This window comes from Homo sapiens, chromosome 14 (genome assembly GCF_000001405.40).
Source record: "Homo sapiens chromosome 14, GRCh38.p14 Primary Assembly".
Classification (NCBI taxonomy): Eukaryota; Metazoa; Chordata; class Mammalia; order Primates; family Hominidae; genus Homo; species Homo sapiens.
Window position 1 is genome coordinate 76,709,203 of NC_000014.9, and position 18,815 is coordinate 76,728,017.

Consider the following 18,815-nt stretch of genomic DNA (forward strand, 5'->3'; position numbering starts at 1 on the left):
TCTTTTTTTTTTTTTTTTTTGAGATGGAGTCTTGCTCTGTCGCCCAGACTGGAGTGCAGTGGCACGATCTCAACTCACTGCAACCTCCATCTCCTGGGTTCAAGCAATTTTCCTGCCACAGCCTCCCAAGTAGCTGGGACTACAGGCGCATGCCACCATGTCTGGCTAGTTTTTGTATTTTTAGTAGAGACAAGGTTTCACCATGTTGGCCAGGCTGGTCTCGAACTCCTGACCTCAGGTGATCTGCCCACCTTGGCCTCCCAAAGCGCTGGGATTACAGGCGTGAGCCACTGTGCCCGGCCACCCTGCCACTTCTTCCATCGAAGCCCAGCCCACGATGCTGCTTCCCCTCCCTGCCCCACTCCATGTCCAGAGCCTCTGCCCATCTCACCAGTAAACACCCAAGAATCAGTGGGCTGCAGGGAGAGCTCCACCAATCCCCCTTGGTGCGGTGGCTCACGCCTGTAATCCCTGCACTTTGGGAGGCCGAGGTGGGCAGATCACCTGAGGTCAGGAGCTCAAGACCAGCCTGGCCAACATCGCGAAACCCCATCTCTACTAAAAATACAAAAATTAGCTGGGCGTGATGGCGCACGCCTGTAGTCCCAGCTACTCGGGAGGCTGAGGCAGGAGAATCGCTTGAACCCGGGAGGTGGAGGTTGCAGTGAGCGGAGGTTGCAGGGTCGCACTCCAGCCTGTGCGACAGAGTGAGACTCCATCTGAAAAATAAATAAATAAGCTGTCAGAAAAAAACTCCAGCTGGCGTCCCCCTCCCTGCAGCCTGAAGTCTGGAGGCAGAGACAGTATCTAATGGATCCTTATAATTTTAGCCCAAAGTGCGAATGAGGGCATGGCAAAGCCGCAGGCAGAGTTTTGAAGCAATTAACTATGAATGCAAGGGGCCTCTCTCTCCTGCGTTCAGCCAAATCACAAGTGTATTCCCTTCACTCATTACAATGTAGCTAAGACAATTAAGTATTGTCTAACTGTGGCGCAATTAAAACCCCTGTAATTAAGGAAGGTGGGGGCCAGAAGAAAAGGACTCTGGTTCTGAAAACTCAGCCCGAGTCCAAGCAAAAGAGCAATGTACACATTTGCCACTAGATGGCAGGCTTCCTGCTTTATTCGCTAGCTCTCCCAATTTTATTAAATACAGAAATGATCCTGACCAGTACTCTAGCAATCCAATCTTCCAAAGCTTCCAAACACATTAAAACTCATAGAATGTTAAAGGTGGACAAAAGTTTAATGAATTTTTTTGCCGAACCTTACATTTACAGAAGAGAGAGAGAGAGAGTCCTAAAGGTAAACCCCAGGTTGTTTTTCTATTATTCTACTCTGCCTCTAAACAAAAGCCACCCAAAAACCTCCTTAAAAAGAGACATAATATAGGTGTGTTCCGTTTCTGAAAAATGCAAACAGCGCTGTTATGATTTTTTACACCTTTCTGCATGTACGTAATGCTGACAGAGAGATGAACTCTTCCATAAACATGGTTGGATGTTTACCTCGTTTCTGTCTTCTTTGTGAGCTTGGCGAGTGCTGGGGCTAGTCAGTAACTTGAAGTCCAAGATCCCTAATTCAGCTCTGTGCTCTCACAGCCTTACCAAAGCCTGGTAAAAGGACAAATGAGACATCCGAGTTGGTTGTAAGGAAGTAAAGTGGAGTCCCTACAACCAGCTGGGTGACTTTAGCCAAGGGACTTGCTTCTTGGGACCTTGATTTCAAAAAAAGGGGACGTTGGATTCACTCTATCATCTAAATCTGTAAGTGCAAAAAGTAATACAAGAGAAGTGTCCTGTAGAGCACGAGGAATGTTGCAGGACATGGGTTCTCAAAGTGTGGTCGGACCCCTAAGCGTACCCTCTCCCTTCTCCGATTATGTATCTATTCAAGGACAGGTTTTTTTCATAGACTTCAGTTAAAACAACATGTCAGCGAGGCGTGGTGGCTCACACCTGTAATCCCAGCAGTTTGGGAGGCTGAGGTGGGAGGATCACCTGAGATCAGGAGTTCGAGACTAGCCTGACCAATACAGTGAAACCTTGTCTCTACTAAAAATACAAAAAGTAGCTGGGCTTGGTGGCAGGCGCCTGTAATCCCAGCTACTCAGGAGGCTGAGGCAGGAGAATCGCTTGAATCCGGGGGGCAGAGGTTGCAGTGAGCCGAGATTGCGCCATCGCACTCTAGCCTGGGTGACAAAGCAAGACTCCATCTCAAAAAAAAAAAAATCACAAGAGATGGAATGAAGGAGATATGAGAATCTGTAGACCAAACATTTAAAAGATTTGCAAAAATATAAAACAACACCACTCTGCAAATGTCTTTGTTTTAGAAAATATAGCTATTGTTGGTAAAAATGTGTAATTTATGTTAACATGCAATGGATTTTTACAGTTATTGTTACATGTATTAATAAATATTTGAATTTTCCCAGCTATAATTTCTAATATAGCAAGGCAAATATAAAAATGTCTCACATGAACAAAAGCTCTTGGAGGCTGTCAATCATTTTTAAGAGCATAAAGGGGTCCTGAGACCAAAAATTTGAGACCTGCTGTTGTAAGTTTCATCAGTCCCTTTCTTAGCTCTGTTATTTATCTTTTCATTCTTCAGAAGCAGAGAATTGTATATCCAAAGATGTTAATTTCAGCATTATCTACAATAGCAAAGAAAAAAGAGACTAAAAGACAATGTCTAACACCAGAGGAAAGGTTCAACCATAATAAATATGCTCCATTGACCCAATAGAATTAGATATTATAGTATTATAAGAAAATGATTAGGGGCCGGGCACGGTGGCTCATGCTTGTAATCTCAGCACTTTGGGAGGCCAAGGTGGGTGAATCACTTGAGGTCGGGAATTCGAGACCAGCCTGACCAACGTGGAGAAACCCCATCTCCACTAAAAATACAAAAAAATTAGCCGGGCGTGGTGGCCCATGCTTGTAATCCCAGCTACTCGGGAGGCTGAGGCAAGAGAATCACTTGAACCCAGGAGGCTGAACAGAAAAGGACAATGGCCTCTTTGTCCCTAGTGTAAGAGAGCTGGGGGGAGCCCTAGGAACCCACCAATGGTAAATTTAAAATGCTGCCTTAAAGGTATTGAACAAGTCCGGGTGTGATGGCTCATGCCTGTAATCCCAGCACTTTGGGAGCCCGAGGCGGGAGGATCACTTTAGCCCAGGAGTTCAAGATCAGCCTGGGCAACATGGTGAGACCCCATCTCTACAAAAAATATAAAAAGTAGCCAGGCGTGGTGGTGCAGGTTGCGGTGAGCCGAGATCAAGCCATTGCACTCCAGCCTGGGCAACGAAAGCGAAACTCTGCCTCAAAAAAAAAAGAAAAGAAAAGAAAAGAAAATGATTATATGGCATAATGTTAAGTGAAAAGACATAAATTGGCACTACCCCAATTGTAAAATGTGAGATTGGAACCTAATATATAAAAATGGAAACATTAATCAGTTACTATACTGTATTTCAATGTCACAATTATGGGTAGTGTTTTTCTTTAAACTAGTGGCTATTATTATTTTGTTATCTTTTTTTTTTAATTTTATTTTCTCTTTTTTTTTTTTTTTTTGAGACAGGGTGTCTCTCTGTCACCCAGGCTGGAGTACACTGGTGCAATCACCAGCTCACTGCAGCTTCAACCTCCTAGTCTCAAGTGATCCTCCCACCTCAGCCTCCTGAGTAGCTGGGATTACGGTGTGCACCACCACACCTGGCTACTTTTTATATTTTTTGTAGAGATGGGGTCTCACCATGTTGCCCAGGCTGATCTTGAACTCCTGGGCTAAAGTGATCCTCCCGCCTCGGGCTCCCAAAGTGCTGGGATTACAGGCATGAGCCATCACACCCAGACTTGTTCAATACCTTTAAGGCAGCATTTTAAAGTTACCATTGGTGGGTTCCTAGGGCTCCCCACAGCTGTCTTACACTAGGGACAAAGAGGCCATTGTCCTTTTCCGTTTAGCAAGCCGAAAAGGTTCCCAATTTTGAAAAGCTACCTTCCTCCAGCATACCCCCACAAAAGTCATTGTCCTGAAGACCTCTGGGAACATGACAAATGGCAGATCTGTGCAAATATACAACCGCCCTAACCGAGGCCACAGCCACCCGGCCCACTTAGGAGAGCTGGCATTGAATGGGAAGTGGCCGGCGCTTTCAGCCTGGCCAGCGGGCTGACAAGGGGTCTTTGTAATGGGAACAAAACTGCATCCCCCTTCACCTGGAGATTCTCCAGCACCCCCTCCTCTCCTGCACTGCCCCCCAGCACACATCCGTGCACACACGCACACAGAGGGGGGTTTATGTTTGCTTCGTAGGTGTGTTAATAAAAATCTCCTTAGGGTCACCGCTTCTGAGGTTTTGAAGTGAAACACTGCCCAAAAGGAGGGTTCATCTTCAAGGCAGCCTCACCTTCACCCCATTAAGTAGCTCCTGCTCACATCTTTCCTGAAACCACTTAAGGTAATTCCCTGTCTTAACGCTGAAGGTGCTTATGGTTCTATTTCAGACTCCTGGTGTGGGCAGTACAGGGTGAAAGAAATGCCCCGGATAATTAAGGAGATTATTTTATTCAGGCTATTAGGGAGAACTTTCATGAATACAGAGAAAGTTCTCAGCAAAAAGGAAGTGGGGGAAGCTGGGGTGGTACAGAGGCAAGGCTCTGGGGGAAGAATGGACACGGCTTATTTGAAGCATGCGATGGGAATCTACAGAATATGCAAGGGCAGGGGAGTCCTTTGCAATTTCTACCTCCCTTTGGAGCACCAAATAAAGTCCAATATGGGCAACAGAAGACCAGAAAGCTGGCCTCCCCTGTAGCTGAGGAAGGAGGAAATGAGTAGTGAGAATGATGTCCCAGATGCCTCCAGGGGAGGCGGTTCTGGGGACTGGGGTAAGTAGGGGCTGTGGGGAGAGAAAGAGGGTGTGGGAGGAGGAAACACATCTCCAGGTGCTCTTTGGCAGCTGAAATTTCATTCCTCAAATTCAGAAATCATCAGGCCAGGCATGGTGGCTCACGCCTGTAATCCCAGCACTTTGGGAGGCTGAGGTGGGTGGATCACCTGAGGTCAGAAGTTCAAGACCAGCCTGGCCAACATGGTGAAACTCCGTCTCTACTAATAATACAAAAATTAGCCAGGCGTGGTGGTGCACACCTGTAATTCCAGCTACTTGGGAGGCTGAGGCAGGAGAATCGCTTGAACCCGGGAGGCAGAGGTTCCAGTGAGCCAAGATCACGCCATTGCACTCCAGCCTGGGCAACAAGAGTGAAACTCAAAAAAAAAAAAAAATTTTTTTCAGAAATTATCTCCTCCCATCCTGTCCTTCTCCCTCCGTCTTCCTCAAATGGCAGGAGGGTGAGGCTATGATTGAAAGAAAACCACTCAATTCCTTGTATCCCCCCAAACACATGTACACACATGCAGCTCTGTTCCAACCTCCTGGAAGGAAACTGGCTGTCACCAAAGGATTCCAGCCAAATACTTGGGGTTCCTCAAGGATATCTTTTGAAAACAACAACAACAAAAATGTAGATTTTTTTTTTTTTTTTTTTGAGACAGTCTCGCTCTTGTTGCCCAGGCTGGAGTGCAATGGCACGATCTTGGCTACTGCAACCTCCACTTCCCGGGTTCAAGCGATTCTCCTGCCTCAGCCTCCTGAGTAGCTGGGATTACAGGCGCCTGCCACCATGACCAGCTAATTTTTGGACTTTTAGTAGAGATGGGGTTGCACCATGTTGGCCAGGTTGGTCTCAAACTCCTGACCTCAGGTGATCCGTCCGCCTCGACCTCCCAAAGTGCTGGGATTACAGGCGTGAGCCATCGTGCCCAGCCAAATGTAGATGGTTGAACAGCTCCAGTCACAATGTAAAGTTTTAATTTTCCTCTGCAATAAAAGCAGCCTTTTTCTTAATGTTTTCTTTGATAGAGGGAAGCCCCCACCACCACTCCCGGCTTCTTTGCCCCAGCCCTCCTCTTTATCTAACCCAGCCAGATGTGTGCATTTTTTTTTTCCATTCACATGGCACAGGGTTTGAAGATGAGCTGTATCCCCCATTAGCCACTCTTTCCACCCCCGGAGAGACTCTGATTGTGGAGGATTCGTGCTGCTGACTGTAGATAAAACAATCGAGATGGGGGGCTGCTTTGGAAACGGGGGGGGGTGTGGGGATTTTTCCATCTGGAATCACAAGGCTTTTGGTGGTAGGCCCAGATGGAACCACGATCTGTCTGTGGAGACAAAGCTTCTTTTGGAACTGGTCATGGCCACAGGAATATGAGGTTTTTGACAATACGGTGGCCAAGAGATAGGAAACTGAAGTGGGTTATGAAATGCCAAGGACAGATCACTCTGACTCTGGTGAAGTAAGCCCATTAGTAAGCTGAACTCATGTAATTCATCAAGGAGCTTCCTTGAGCCGGTGAAAACAAGGATTGTAGAACTGTGAGTTCAGACCTGGACGTTAGAAAAACAACTCCCAAGTCAGCCAGTCTCCACCCTCTTAGCTTAAGTCATCTTTCGGCTGGGAGCAAACATGCTTCCTTACCACACCAGAACAATGCTAGGTCTTCAATTATTGTAAAGAATTTTACAAATGCTGAGTGTCCCTGTCGACACTATTAATGAACATCCTCTAAGCTGCACTTAAGCCAAATCCCAAGGGATAATTAGGGATACGGAACAATGATACAATGTAGATTGCCAGTTTGCTTGAAGCTCCCAACATCCAATTAGAGGGTGGTAGCGATTTCCCAGAGCACAGGAGATGAAAACCATCTGTCACAGCCTGCTTCCTAAATCCTCCCTTCCAGGAGCTCTTTCTGTCACCTAATAATGCCAAAAAGGAGCACCTTCTCGGCCCTGAAAGCCCATCTTCCGACCAGACATGAGTTAACAAGCTGCGCGCCCCAGGGCAGACCACATTTCCTCTCTGAGCCTTCATTTTCTCTTCTATAAAATGAACCTGCTGGACATGGGTTGGTGGCTTTCAAACTTTTGAAAGCAGTGGAAACTTTTGTTTTTCTCAAGAGGAAAGCTTGATGATGGAACTCAATTTGGAGTATCTTTATGTCACTGAGAGGAAGTATAATAAACACTCCACTAATCAGACTGCTGGAGGGAGACGGCTCAGCTCTTTTGTGTCTTAAATCTCCAAGCAGACTATCAGTCCCCATGGATTGGATCACTGCCTGCAAGTATTAACTGCTTAATAAATGTCACGTAGGAAAAAATGTGTGCTTCATTGGGAAACTGTGTATCCTTTAGAGCATACCCTTCCAGGTTATCTGAGTGCGATGCTTTAGGGTCTCTGGGCCATTCATTGCCTTTGAGCTATTTTTCAAATCTGTAAATTGTAGATAACTGATAGCAATGTAAATAATTCCTGTTTGCAGGCATGCAAATACATTCTGTCCCGAGGTGGTTCAATTTACTTCCTATTTTCCAAAGGAAAGCCAGTTTCCTTCTATTTGAAATATGTTTCCTTCTATTCGTAAATATATTTCCTTCTATTCGTAAATACACTTCAACATTGCTTTTCTCCATATAAATTTGTGCCTCTTTTGACTTCTCATTTGAACCGGTTGTCACATCTTACCAGCCTTCATTAATGATGCACTAAATACAATTTTAACATGTCCATTTTATGTTTGTAGGAATGTCATGATTTTAGCTTTCTTTGAAAATTGCCTTAGTTAAAAAGTTTATCAATAAAAATGAACATTTTTTTTTTCCGAGTTCTCCCCTGATGTCCAATAGCATTTATACTCACACACAGTTGACTTTAAAAGTATAATGTTATGGAAATGCCTTTAGGAAAGCAACACATGCTCATTGGGAATAAGAAATGAGAGAAAGAGCCACATGGGATACTAGGAGCTAGGCTCCCTTAGGCATAAAAGGGCAAGTCGGGGAGCAGTTACCCCAACTCAAGAGAGAAGCTATTGAGAAGGCTGGTGATAGGAGCTGAGGGCTGAAACAGGCGGAGGCAACCAACCCAGGGCAACCCAGTGTAATCACACCAGACCAATCTGGTTCAACTCTTTTTTTTTTTGAGACAGAGTCTCGCTCTGTTGCCCAGGCTAGAGTGCAGTGGCGCAATCTTGGCTCACTGCAAGCACCGCCTCCCAGGTTCACACCATTCTCCTGCCTCAGCCTCCTGAGTAGCTGGGACTACAGGCACCTGCCACCACACCTGGCTAATTTTTTTTACTTTTAATAGAGACGGGGTTTCACCGTGTTAGCCAGGATGGTCTCGATCTCCTGACTTCGTGATCTGCTCACCTCGGCCTCCCAAAGAGCTGGGATTACAGGCGTGAGCCACCGTGCCCAGCCCTGGTTCAACTTTTATGTAACAAAGTCGTGAGTTGTTTTTTGGTTGCCATGGATCCCCAAGTTGAAAGTCAAGTAACCTGAACATGCCCAGATGAACCAAGTGTGCAACCACAAGTGGAACCTAAGTGCTGGAAGCCGGGAGCAAGGACTGCTTTCAGAGGTGGACTGCACATGGCAGGATCCAGGATCCAATCAGATTGAGCTCTAGTGTCACCCCGTGGCAGGATCCAGTCAGATCATGCCTCCCCAGCATCACCTCATTGCAAGATCCAATCAGATCATGGTTCATTACCCTTCGCCTATAAAACCTGCCCCAGCCCACCAGCTAGGCGACATAGATTTCAGCCTTGCCTCCTGTCTTGCCAGTCAATTCCCAATAAAGGTTTTCAGTGCCATGGTATTGGCTTGTGTGTGCATCAGGCAGTGAGCCCATTGCTTGCTGGGTAATACCAGCAGAAAGAGAACAGAAATGAATATTCCAGCCTCACTCTGCTCCCTGCCTTCATGGGCCAAATCCAGCTGGACCAAGAGGGAAAGGGAGTACACATGTTCATAGGCGTCAGCCTTCTTGGTGGAGGGGACATCACAGTCATTCAAACAGCGAACCAAGACAGCTTGGGATGAGAATCAAACCACTCATAGCTCACTGTCTATATTAACATGACTTTACTATTCCACTGTCCTCATCAAAGTAACTTCACTATTATTCCAGAAAATGCTTGCCCAGGAAGATAAAAGCTGTAAATAACTCTACTGTTCATCCCAGGAACTTCCTGAAGGACACACCATGTCTTCAACAGGAAGCATCAGTTTATAGGTTCAATAGGAAGACAGTTTATACCCCAAGGTTCTTTGAACGCCTCAGCCAGAAATCCTCACTTTGCTGTGTCTACCAATCATGATCTTAGCAACCCCCATCAAGCATGCCACCTCTGCACTGAAAGAGCCACCTTAAACCAGGCCTCAAAGTCTCAATAAAAATCACTTTGCCCTCCCACTTTGGGAAGCTACTGAGGCTTTGTGGAGGGGGTACTCTACCTTACCACGGTGAACAATCAACTCAGCCTTGCCTTCTCCGCAGGTTGCTCTGGTGATATTTAGGAGATGGCATTTGACAGAAGGGAAGCATATTTGGAGATGATTGTGTATGTGAGCCTGAATCATCCAGGCAGGTTTCTTCCCTGCTCCAGTTCAGTGGGACGACTGCATAAATATTCTTTCTTTTTCCTATGTGGATACAAAATATTGAGTTTGGGGGCTGGAAGGAATCCCAGCGATGAACTCATCCCTCCCCTCCTTTATGGATTAGGTCAGTAGAACTTACACAGGGAGGTCAGCCAGGGGGCTGGGATCTGAATTCAAGTCCTGCGGCTCTGAGCCAGGTGGCCTGCATTTATTCATTCTCTTGCTGCCATGTTTCTCTTTTCTTTTCTTTTTTTTTTTTTTTTTTTTTTTTTTTGAGATGGAGTTTCACTCTTGTTGCCCAGGCTGGAGTGCAATGGCATGATCTCCGCTCACTGCAACCTCCACCTCCTGGGTTCAAGTGATTCTCTTGCCTCAGCCTCCTGAGTAGCTGAGATTATAAGCATGTGCCACCACACCCAGCTAATTTTGTATTTTTAGTAGAGACAGGGTTTCTCTATGTTGGTCAAGCTGGTCTCGAACTCCTGACCTCAGGTGATCCACCCGTCTCGGCCTCCCAAAGTGCTGGGATTACAGGCATGAGCCACTGTGCCCAGCTTTTTTTTTTTTTTTTTTGGTTTAACAATTGTTTGCTGTGTACCAGGTATTGTGCCAGGTGACGAGCACTCAGAAGTGGGGCCACGTTTTCGAGATTCTTGCCCCGTTTTTCCTTCCGCCCCTTTAAAGCAGATCCTGGGCTCTGTGCTCCTTTACTGAAGAAAGTGGTGGAAGGAAAGAAAGTCGATAGCAGTCTAAGAACTCCCAGCTTCCAATCCCTAAAGTCTAAACATTTGGGAAGAACAGAGGAGATTACAGGTAAGGACCCAAAATGTAGGAAAGGTTTTTCCTGGGCTGGTGTTGGAGGGGAGAGGATGAGAACAGAGAAGGGATGGGTCTCAGGAGGAGCAACCCAAGAGAGAAGGCCTGCGTGGACAGGACTCGACGGGGCATGGAGGGCTCTGTGACATGAAGCGGCAGAGTGACCCCCATACCTCCCCAGAGCCATGTGGACAAGACTGAGGGCCAGCCCAGGAGTGACCTGTGGAACCAATAACCAGCACCAATGCCCTGGCACCATTACGGTCTCGACATCATTAAGACCCTGAAACTCTAAAACAACCAGTGGAGAGCTGGTGCTGCAGACACTCAAAGAGGCAGACGCACAGAGCCAAGGAGGCTCTTGGATTTCGCCCCAAAACTGGGTCAAGGGGACAGAGTCTCCTCCCTCCCATTCCCGACCAGTGCGCTGGGAGTGGCCACACTAGGCATGGAGCAGCCTGTTTGCCAACACACTCTGGTCATAGGAGAAAAAAGAAAATGCCTCCTGAGTTTGGTTTTAAGGAGCTCCTTAACAAAAGGCAGCCCTGAGCAAAGTGATGCTGGGTGAGGGATGCTGCTTTTGCTTTTAAAATAAGCCACAATCTTCCCAGCAAACAAAGAGTGTCTTCTGAGTAACTCAAAGAATGTTTCTTTTCTCCTGGTACAGGGAGGGCATCTTTCAAATGAAAGTCCGTATCTCCTGTTTTCAGGAAGAAACTAGATTAGAATGCCCTTCTTGCATCTGCTGTTTTTCAAGTGCCTTTAGCTCAAAATAATCCTTATGCCAAAGTGGTATGTTTTGGGGTGGCATATCCTGGCACCTTTCAGCAGGAACAGGGGTGCAGAGAGGGGCCATGTGGAGTAAGCCTGTCCCTGAGGGCCAGGAAGCCCAGGCAGCCTCACTTCCTCTCTCTCTCAGCAGCTGATGTGACCCTGGTCTGACCTTGCAGCTGCTCCTCCTGGCTCCCTGCTGGCTGCAGGCCAGGGCTCAGATTCCAGTCTTTTCCACAGCTCTAGAGGACCAGACTTTCAAAGGAGGGAAGGAAGGGAGGAAGGGGAGGGCAGGAAGAGGTCAGAAAAGAGGATGGAGAATTTAGGAGGGGAGAAAGGGAAGTGAGAGGAGCGCAGGAGGCTGGTGGGGAAGGGAAAATCAGACCGGAGGAGAGGAAGGAAATGAGTAACTAATTCTGAAATTGCGGCACCTGAGGCCTCAGTCCTTTTGGGCCTTAACTCTTGCCCTGGGGCCTATCACAGGGGGCCCAGGAGCACTGTTTGCTGTGACCATCCTGGGCAACATGGCAAAACCCTGTCTCTACTAAAAATACAAAATATATTCGATTCATGAAGCACCTCAAATTTAGATTTGCAAAGACCTCCAAACAAAACACCTGCATTGTAAGAAGACTGCCTGCTAGGCACAGTGGCTCACACCTGTAATCCTAACACTTTGGGAGGCCGAGGTGGGTGGATCATTTGAGGTCAGGAGTTCGAGACCCACCTGGCTAACATGGTGAAACCCTGTCTCTACTAAAAATACAAAAATTAGCCAGGCGGGGTGGCAAGCGCCTGTAGTCCTAGCTACTCGGGAGGCTGAGGAAGGAGAATCACTTGAACCCAGGAGACAGAGGCTGCAGTGAGTGGAGATTGCATCACTGCACTCCGGCCTGAGCAATAGAGTGAGATTCCGTTGCCAAAAAAAAGATTGCTCAACCTTCAATTTTGAACTTGTCCCCATCCTGGGTCACACCAGCTACACTACACTGAGTCAGTATTTTTCATAAATTTAAAGGCCATGGTGTCCAATTTTATTGCAGTGTTTTCTTTGTATTAAGGAATGAATCTGTTAGTGGCAAACATTTAAAATATATTGCCAACTTTATTTAATTAATTTATTTATTTTTGAGATGGAGTTTTTGCTCTGTTGCCCAGGCTGGAGTGCAGTGGCAAGATCTCAGCTCACTGCAACCTCTGACTCCAGGGTTCAAGCGATTCTTCCGCCTCAGCCTCCCGAGTAGCTGGGATTACAGGCGCCTGCCACCCTACCCAGCTAATTTTTGTATTTTTAGTAGAGACGAGGTCTCACCATGTTGGCCAGGCTAGTCTCAAACTCTTGACCTCAGGTGATCCGCCCACCTTGGCCTCCCAAAGTGCTCGATTACAGGTATGAGGCACCGGGCCGGGCCAAACTGCAAACTTTATAATGCTGTTAGGGTTCTTCTCCTGTATTTTTAATTTATAGGGAGCTTGAAAAACGGGTGTGGCCCAAGTCTCTCTCAGTTGCTGAGATGCCCTGACGGCACCTCCCACAGCCCTGGGCCCCCTGTAGGACCAGTCTCCCCTGGAGGACACCCACAAGAACAGGAAAGCCCCACCAAAACGCTAAGGAGGGAGGCAGAATTGGTGACACTGGGTCCCCAGAGATCCCATGGCTGGTGACACCATAAAAACTCGTTTTCTTCCCTGAGAGATGAAGAGGAGTGGGGGCAGGAGATGATCTACATGCCAACTCTGGGAATATGTTCAGTCCTATCACTGGGCCCCATTTTTGTTGGTGGCCAACGCAACAGTCTTTCCCTGACTCCTTCCCATGAGCTTGCCTTTCATCATAGGGGATGAAAGGCCAAAGATACCTTCCCAGCCTCTTCTGCGCTAGAAGTAGCCTAGTCAATAAGATACAAAAAAAATTCTCCTGGGTTGTTTTTAGAAAATCTTTTCCTCTCTGATAAAAACAGAGGGGCAAGTCCAGGCACAGTGGCTCACGCCTGTAATCCTAGTACTTTGGGAGGCCAAGGTGGGCGGATTGCCTGAGCTCAGGAGTTCAAGACCAGCCTGGGCAACATGGCAAAATCCCGTCTGTACTAAAAATACAAAAAATTACCCAGGCGTGGTGGCGCGTGCCTGTAATCCCAGCTACTCAGGAGGTTGAGGCAGGAGAATCGCTTGAACCTGGGAGGCAGAGGTTGCAGTGAGCTGAGATCACACCACTGCACTTCAGCCTGGGCGACAGGGCAAGACTCTGTCTCAAAAAAAAAAAAAAAAAAAAAAAAAGAGGGGCAAGAGGAGAGCTCCTTTGCCCACCTCCTTGTTTCTAGATTGGGTTGGGCGTGCCGAGTGAAGACAATGTGCTGGCGCTCAGGCAGGGCAGGAAGTGTGCTAAAGCCAAAAGGGTGGAAGGACCTCGCTGAGCTGCTGCACGAACCCCTGAACTGTCTACACCCAGGCTTCTTAATTATGGGCGATGATTAAGTGGCTTTTTGATTTAAGCTACTCTTGCACAGGTGTTCCATGATTTGCAGTCAAAAGCATTTCCAACACCCAGAGCTGTGCTAGGACTTGTAGAGGATACAGAGACTTCCAAGATTTGATTTCTTCCTTCTATTCTAGAAGCTTATATTCAAAGTAGGGAAACTAGACATATGTACAGGTGTTCAACATCCTTAAAAATCAAACAACTTGGAGTATAATCAAATTTTAAACTGAAAGTAACAGCAATTTCACTCTTGAGAACTTTTCCCAAGAATGTATGTTCAGAGATATTTGCTGAATTGCAGCATATAGTAGAGAAAATGTGGACATACCCTAAATATTTAGCAATAGGGATTGAAATTACAGCACATACATAAATGGAATACTATGAAGTCAGTAAAGATGGTGATGTTGATATATACTTAATGATGGGAATTCTATAGACAATACTCAGAAAAAAAAACAGGTTATCAACTGTGTACTATATAAATCCACTCATGCACAAAAACATCTGAGTCTGGTATATGTGAAACTGTCAGCAGTGATTATTGGTATACAGTGGAATCATGATGGATTTTTATTTTCCTTACACTTTTCTGTACTTTTTCCACTTGTTGCAATGAACACATATTGCATTTGTAATAGTTGCACTAACAGCATTTAGAAATGCAACTGAATAGTAAGACTATCTGTGCTAATAGAGTACAGTGAAGAGCTTTTAAAAATCTACCAAAATTCACTGTGCATCAACTATTTGCAAAACAACATGGTATATAGGAAGGGGATGGAGAACATGAAAAATAGATCCACAGTCATACACACAGTCCATGGCTTTGAAGGGTGGCAGAATATGCCATCCCCAAAATATGCCACTTGCCTTGATTATTTTGAACTAAAGGCACTTGCAAAAGGGGTGCTCTGACCTCCCCTTTTCTTCCTAAAAACAGGAGATAAATCTCCCATGTGAAAGGTCCCCTCCCTATACCAGGAGGAAAGAAACATTCTTATCATCAGAGATAGGAAGTTGAGACCAAGAGAAATCTGTACATACAGACCTTGTTAAAATAATTCTTACGTTCTTTTAGTCCTCATGTATATTTTAGTTACTCTTCCACAATTGCCTCTCTTTGTTCAACCTAGTATATAAGCACTTAGGTTTTGCCAGTTCTTTAGATCTTCATTTTCCTTTGGGGGATCCCATGTACATGTCAAAACCTGTGTGCTTTTCTCCTGTTCATCTGCCTATGTCATCTTAATTATCAGTCCCAACCAGTAACCCTAAGATGGTTGAGGTAAAGATTTTCTTCCCCTACAGCTTTAAAGAACCAAGTTTCTACCTGGGCAGCTAAGACACAGACAGGTGACATAGTTCCATCCATTCTTAGGAGCTTAGAATATTTGTTACATATCCTAACCTGCCCAATGATATGATAGATATTGAAATAAAACATCGAGTTTTAAGTATTTGGCTTTTATGAAAAAAAATTGGAACAACAGTTTTACATTATAATTTTATATACAGAGTATTTAAGTCAGGCATTGTGAATAGCTTCTGGGAAATGCTTTCAGACCTTGTAAGTTTTGCCTAGGATTGTTTGCAAAGTCTGATTTAACACCCTGTATATAATAGAGAAACCTAATTCACACCCAAACCTTTTGTATTTCTTAGAGTTACAAATGCAGCAAAGCATCTCTTAATTTCTAGAACCTTTCCAAATCATAAATGGTAGTATCAGTTTAAACCCTGTGATGTTCTGATAGGCTTATCACATATGTGGTGTGACCCTGATATTACCAGCAGCATAGCTTAATTCTTGAATTTGACCCTGTGTTAGTCCGTTCTCTCGCTACTAATAAAGACATACCCCAGACTGGGTAATTTATATAGGAAAGAGGTTTAATTGACTCACAGTTCAGATGGCTGGGGAGTCCTCAGGAAACTTACAATGACAATGGAAGGGGAAGCAAACACATCTTTCTTCAAATGGTGGCAGGAAGAAGTGCCAAGCAAAAAGGGGGAAAGCCCCTTATAAATCAGCTCTTGTAAGAACTCACTATCACGAGAACAGCATGAGGATAAGTTCCCCCATGATTCAATTATCTCCCACCAAGTCCCTCTCATGACACGTGGGGATTATGGGAACTACAATTTAAGATGAGATTTGGCGGGGGACACAGCCAAACCATATCAACCCTCTTCCCCTGTTTCTGGGTATATTCTAGCAAACTAGGTAGCATTCTAGCTTTCCTTAGACTAGAACGATGTTTAAACAATTGTCCTTACATTTAACATTTGAGTACAGAAAAAGATCGTCTAGGTTTATTTACTAAAACTGTCAGCTGGGTTCACCAAGCCACCCAAAATCCAGATAACATGGATTCATCCCAAATTCTTGTGCTCACCACTGGCTCTGAGCTGCATCTGCAGAATCACATCACTTTAGGAATCACCTTGCCATCCTGCTGTTGTTGCTGTTGGCACACATACCATTGACCCATCCGTGGCACTCAAACCACTCCCTAATTTGCACAGGGGCAGGTGCATGTTGTGTGTGTACATGTGTTTGCGGGCATGCATGTGTGTGTGCATGTGTTTTGAAGGTCTTACCAAATATTGGTGCATGGCCCTCTCACCTCTTTCCTCCCACCTTAATGCAGGAACTGGTTTGTCTCTCTTTTGTTGCTTAAAGTTCTGCTGGCCGGTACCCTTAGTATCTTCTTTATTCATTTTCAGTCAGCAAATAGTTATTGAAGACCAACTATGTGCCATGCACTGTACTAGGTGCTGGGGAAAACAGTAATAGTCCTTAACTTCAGAGAGTTTACAGTCCACAGTCTCCTGTCAAAGACAAACCTTACTCAAAGAATCATACTACCAAATATAGTTTCCCTAAGTACTTTTTAACTTTGTATTTTTAAAATAATTTTAGACTCATGTAGAAGTGCACATAGATATACTATATAGTTCCCGTGTACCCTTAATCCAGCTTCCTCCAATGGTAACATCCTGCATATTCATAGTACAATCATCACAACTGAAATGGGAAAAGTTCCCTTGTCCCCCTTGCAGGGCGTGCGATGGGGATGTGGCTTGCTTTTTCAGTGCCCTGCTGCTCAAACCTGTAGGGGAGCATACAGACAGGCACGCTATGGGCCTCCGACCCCATGGCAGTGTCTAGGGGTGAATGTTTACAGCTGAAGCCCTAGTGGGCGTGTTACTGTGTGTGTGTGTGTGTGTGTGTGTGTGTGTATGTGTGTGTTTTGAGACCGAGTCTCGCTTTGTTGCCCAGGCTGGAGTGCAGCGGTGTGATCTTGGCTCACTGCAACCTCCGCCTCCCGGGTTTAAGCAATTTTCTGCCTCAGCCTCCCGAGTAGCTGGGATTACAGGCGCCCGCCACCGCGCCCGGCTAATTTTTGTATTTTTAGTAGAGACGGGGTTTCACCATCTTGGCCAGGCTGGTCTGAAACTCCTGACCTCATGAGGCCTCCCAAAGTGCTGGGATTACAGGCGTGAGCCACCGCACCTAGCCCAGTGTGCTCTTTTAGTTTTGCTTTTAGTTTGGCCGGCTATAGGTGGCTTGTTTTAGTCAGCTCAATTAGACCCCTGCCTTATTGCAAGGACAGAGGGCTTTCTATATCCCCAGGTTCTTGCCTTGGTGCACCAAAGAATCGGATCATATGTGGGCTTGGAGAATGAGCGGAAGGTTTTACTGAGTGGAAGTACCTCTTAGCAGATGGGGGAGCCAGAAGGGAGATGGTTTTCCCTGGAGTCGGTCTGCTTGGCGGCCCGAGCGCTCCTCCGACTGCCCCAGCCAAACACCGCGTTGTTTTGCCAGTCAGTGGCCTGCCGGCATGCTGGTGCCTGTGGGTGTGTTCCTCCACAGAGCACTCCTCTTGACTTCCAGCTGCTGCTGTTTCTGCCTTGCTAGGGTCTCGGGTTTTTATAGGCACAGGATGGGGGCATGGCAGGCCAGGGTGGTCTTGGAAAATGCAACATTTGGGCAGTAAATTCCTGTCCTCACCTAGGTCGGTGGGGGTGGAGCCCTAGCCAGAGACCACGCCCTCCTCTACCCAGCACTTCCCTTCTCCCTTCCCTATCATTTAAAAGAACTACACCCTTCCCTTCCCAGCACTCCTGTATCTAACCAGGAAATGTACATGAATGCAATACTATTAACTAAACTACAGCCCTTATTGGATTAGCATTTAGCCATCTCTAAGTGCTTTTTTTTGTTTTTTTGTTGTTTTGTTGTTGTTGTTGTTTTGTTTTGAGACACGGTCTTACTCTGTTATCCAGGCTGGCGTGCAGCGGCACAATTACGACTCACTGCAGCCTTATCCTCCCGGGTTCAAACGATCCTCCCACCTTAGCCTCCTGAGTAGCTGGGATTACAGGTGTGCAGCACCATATCTGGCTAAGTTTTGTATTTTTTGTAGAGACTTAGTCTCACCATGTTGCCCAGGCTGGTCTCAAATTCCTGACCTCAAGCAATTCTCCTGCCTTCACCTCCCAAAGTTTTGGGATTACAGGCATGAGCCACCATGCCTAGCCTCTGTGCTAGCCTCTAAGTGCTTTTTAATACACTAATTAATAATTATAACGCCTAGCCTCTGTGCTAGCCTCTAAGTGCTTTTTAATACACTAATTAATAATTATAACAATCATAGGCAGTAAATACTACCATCACCCCTATTTTATAGATGCAGGAACTGAGACCAGAACAGTTACATAACTTGCCGAAGAGTCAGCTTGCAGTGGCATGACGAGGATTGCAAATCCAGGCAGCCCGGCTGTAAGGGATTTGCTCCCCACCACTATACTGTCCCTCCTCTTAACACTGCCCAACCTAGCCAGAACATGTTTTCTTGTTCAAACCCAAACAACCTATCATAGCTCTACAATACATGGCCAGGGAGCTATTAGAAAAAGTTGTAACACTTGGATGACATCTTTAAAGCCAAAATTTTGCTTCCAAAATCAAAGTTTGTTTCAATGGCAGAGGCTTCCCAAAGGAAATGACTATTTCGATCACTGTTCATGAAACAATATTCTTTGGGCTAACAAAGGCTGACATTTCAAACATTTCCCTGTGGTTGAAAATAACTTCAGCTGAAATATTTTGATTCTCAAAAGGAAGTTTCTTTGTAAGAAACGGCAAGAAATGCAGGTGCAGTTAAGGCACACCCAAAACAAAGGCCTCTGAAAATGCAGGGCTTCCTCTC

General features: G+C 45.8%; 1 long non-coding RNA gene across 3 annotated transcripts, besides 1 other annotated feature; it reads right to left on the reverse strand.

The window, feature by feature from the left end:
- Positions 1 to 1,227: 1,227 nt before the first annotated feature.
- On the reverse strand, positions 1,228 to 17,509 carry LOC105370577 (uncharacterized). 3 transcript variants are annotated; one of them, XR_001750834.2, is made up of 3 exons: positions 9,384 to 9,798; positions 2,481 to 2,659; positions 1,228 to 1,613 (listed from the first exon to the last, which is right to left on the reverse strand). It is a non-coding gene; the product is annotated as an uncharacterized LOC105370577 (long non-coding RNA). The 3 variants fall into 3 exon arrangements; XR_007064273.1 differs by lacking the exons at positions 2,481 to 2,659; positions 9,384 to 9,798 and adding an exon at positions 17,317 to 17,509; XR_007064272.1 differs by lacking the exon at positions 9,384 to 9,798 and having other exon boundaries at positions 2,481 to 2,795.
- Positions 11,298 to 11,457: an enhancer, noted in NCBI's record as "active region_8771". NCBI's record gives its function as "activates an Ori minimal core promoter by ATAC-STARR-seq in GM12878 lymphoblastoid cells {active_cell/tissue: GM12878}" and the evidence as "EXISTENCE:reporter gene assay evidence [ECO:0000049][PMID:35858748]".
- Positions 17,510 to 18,815: the final 1,306 nt, after the last annotated feature.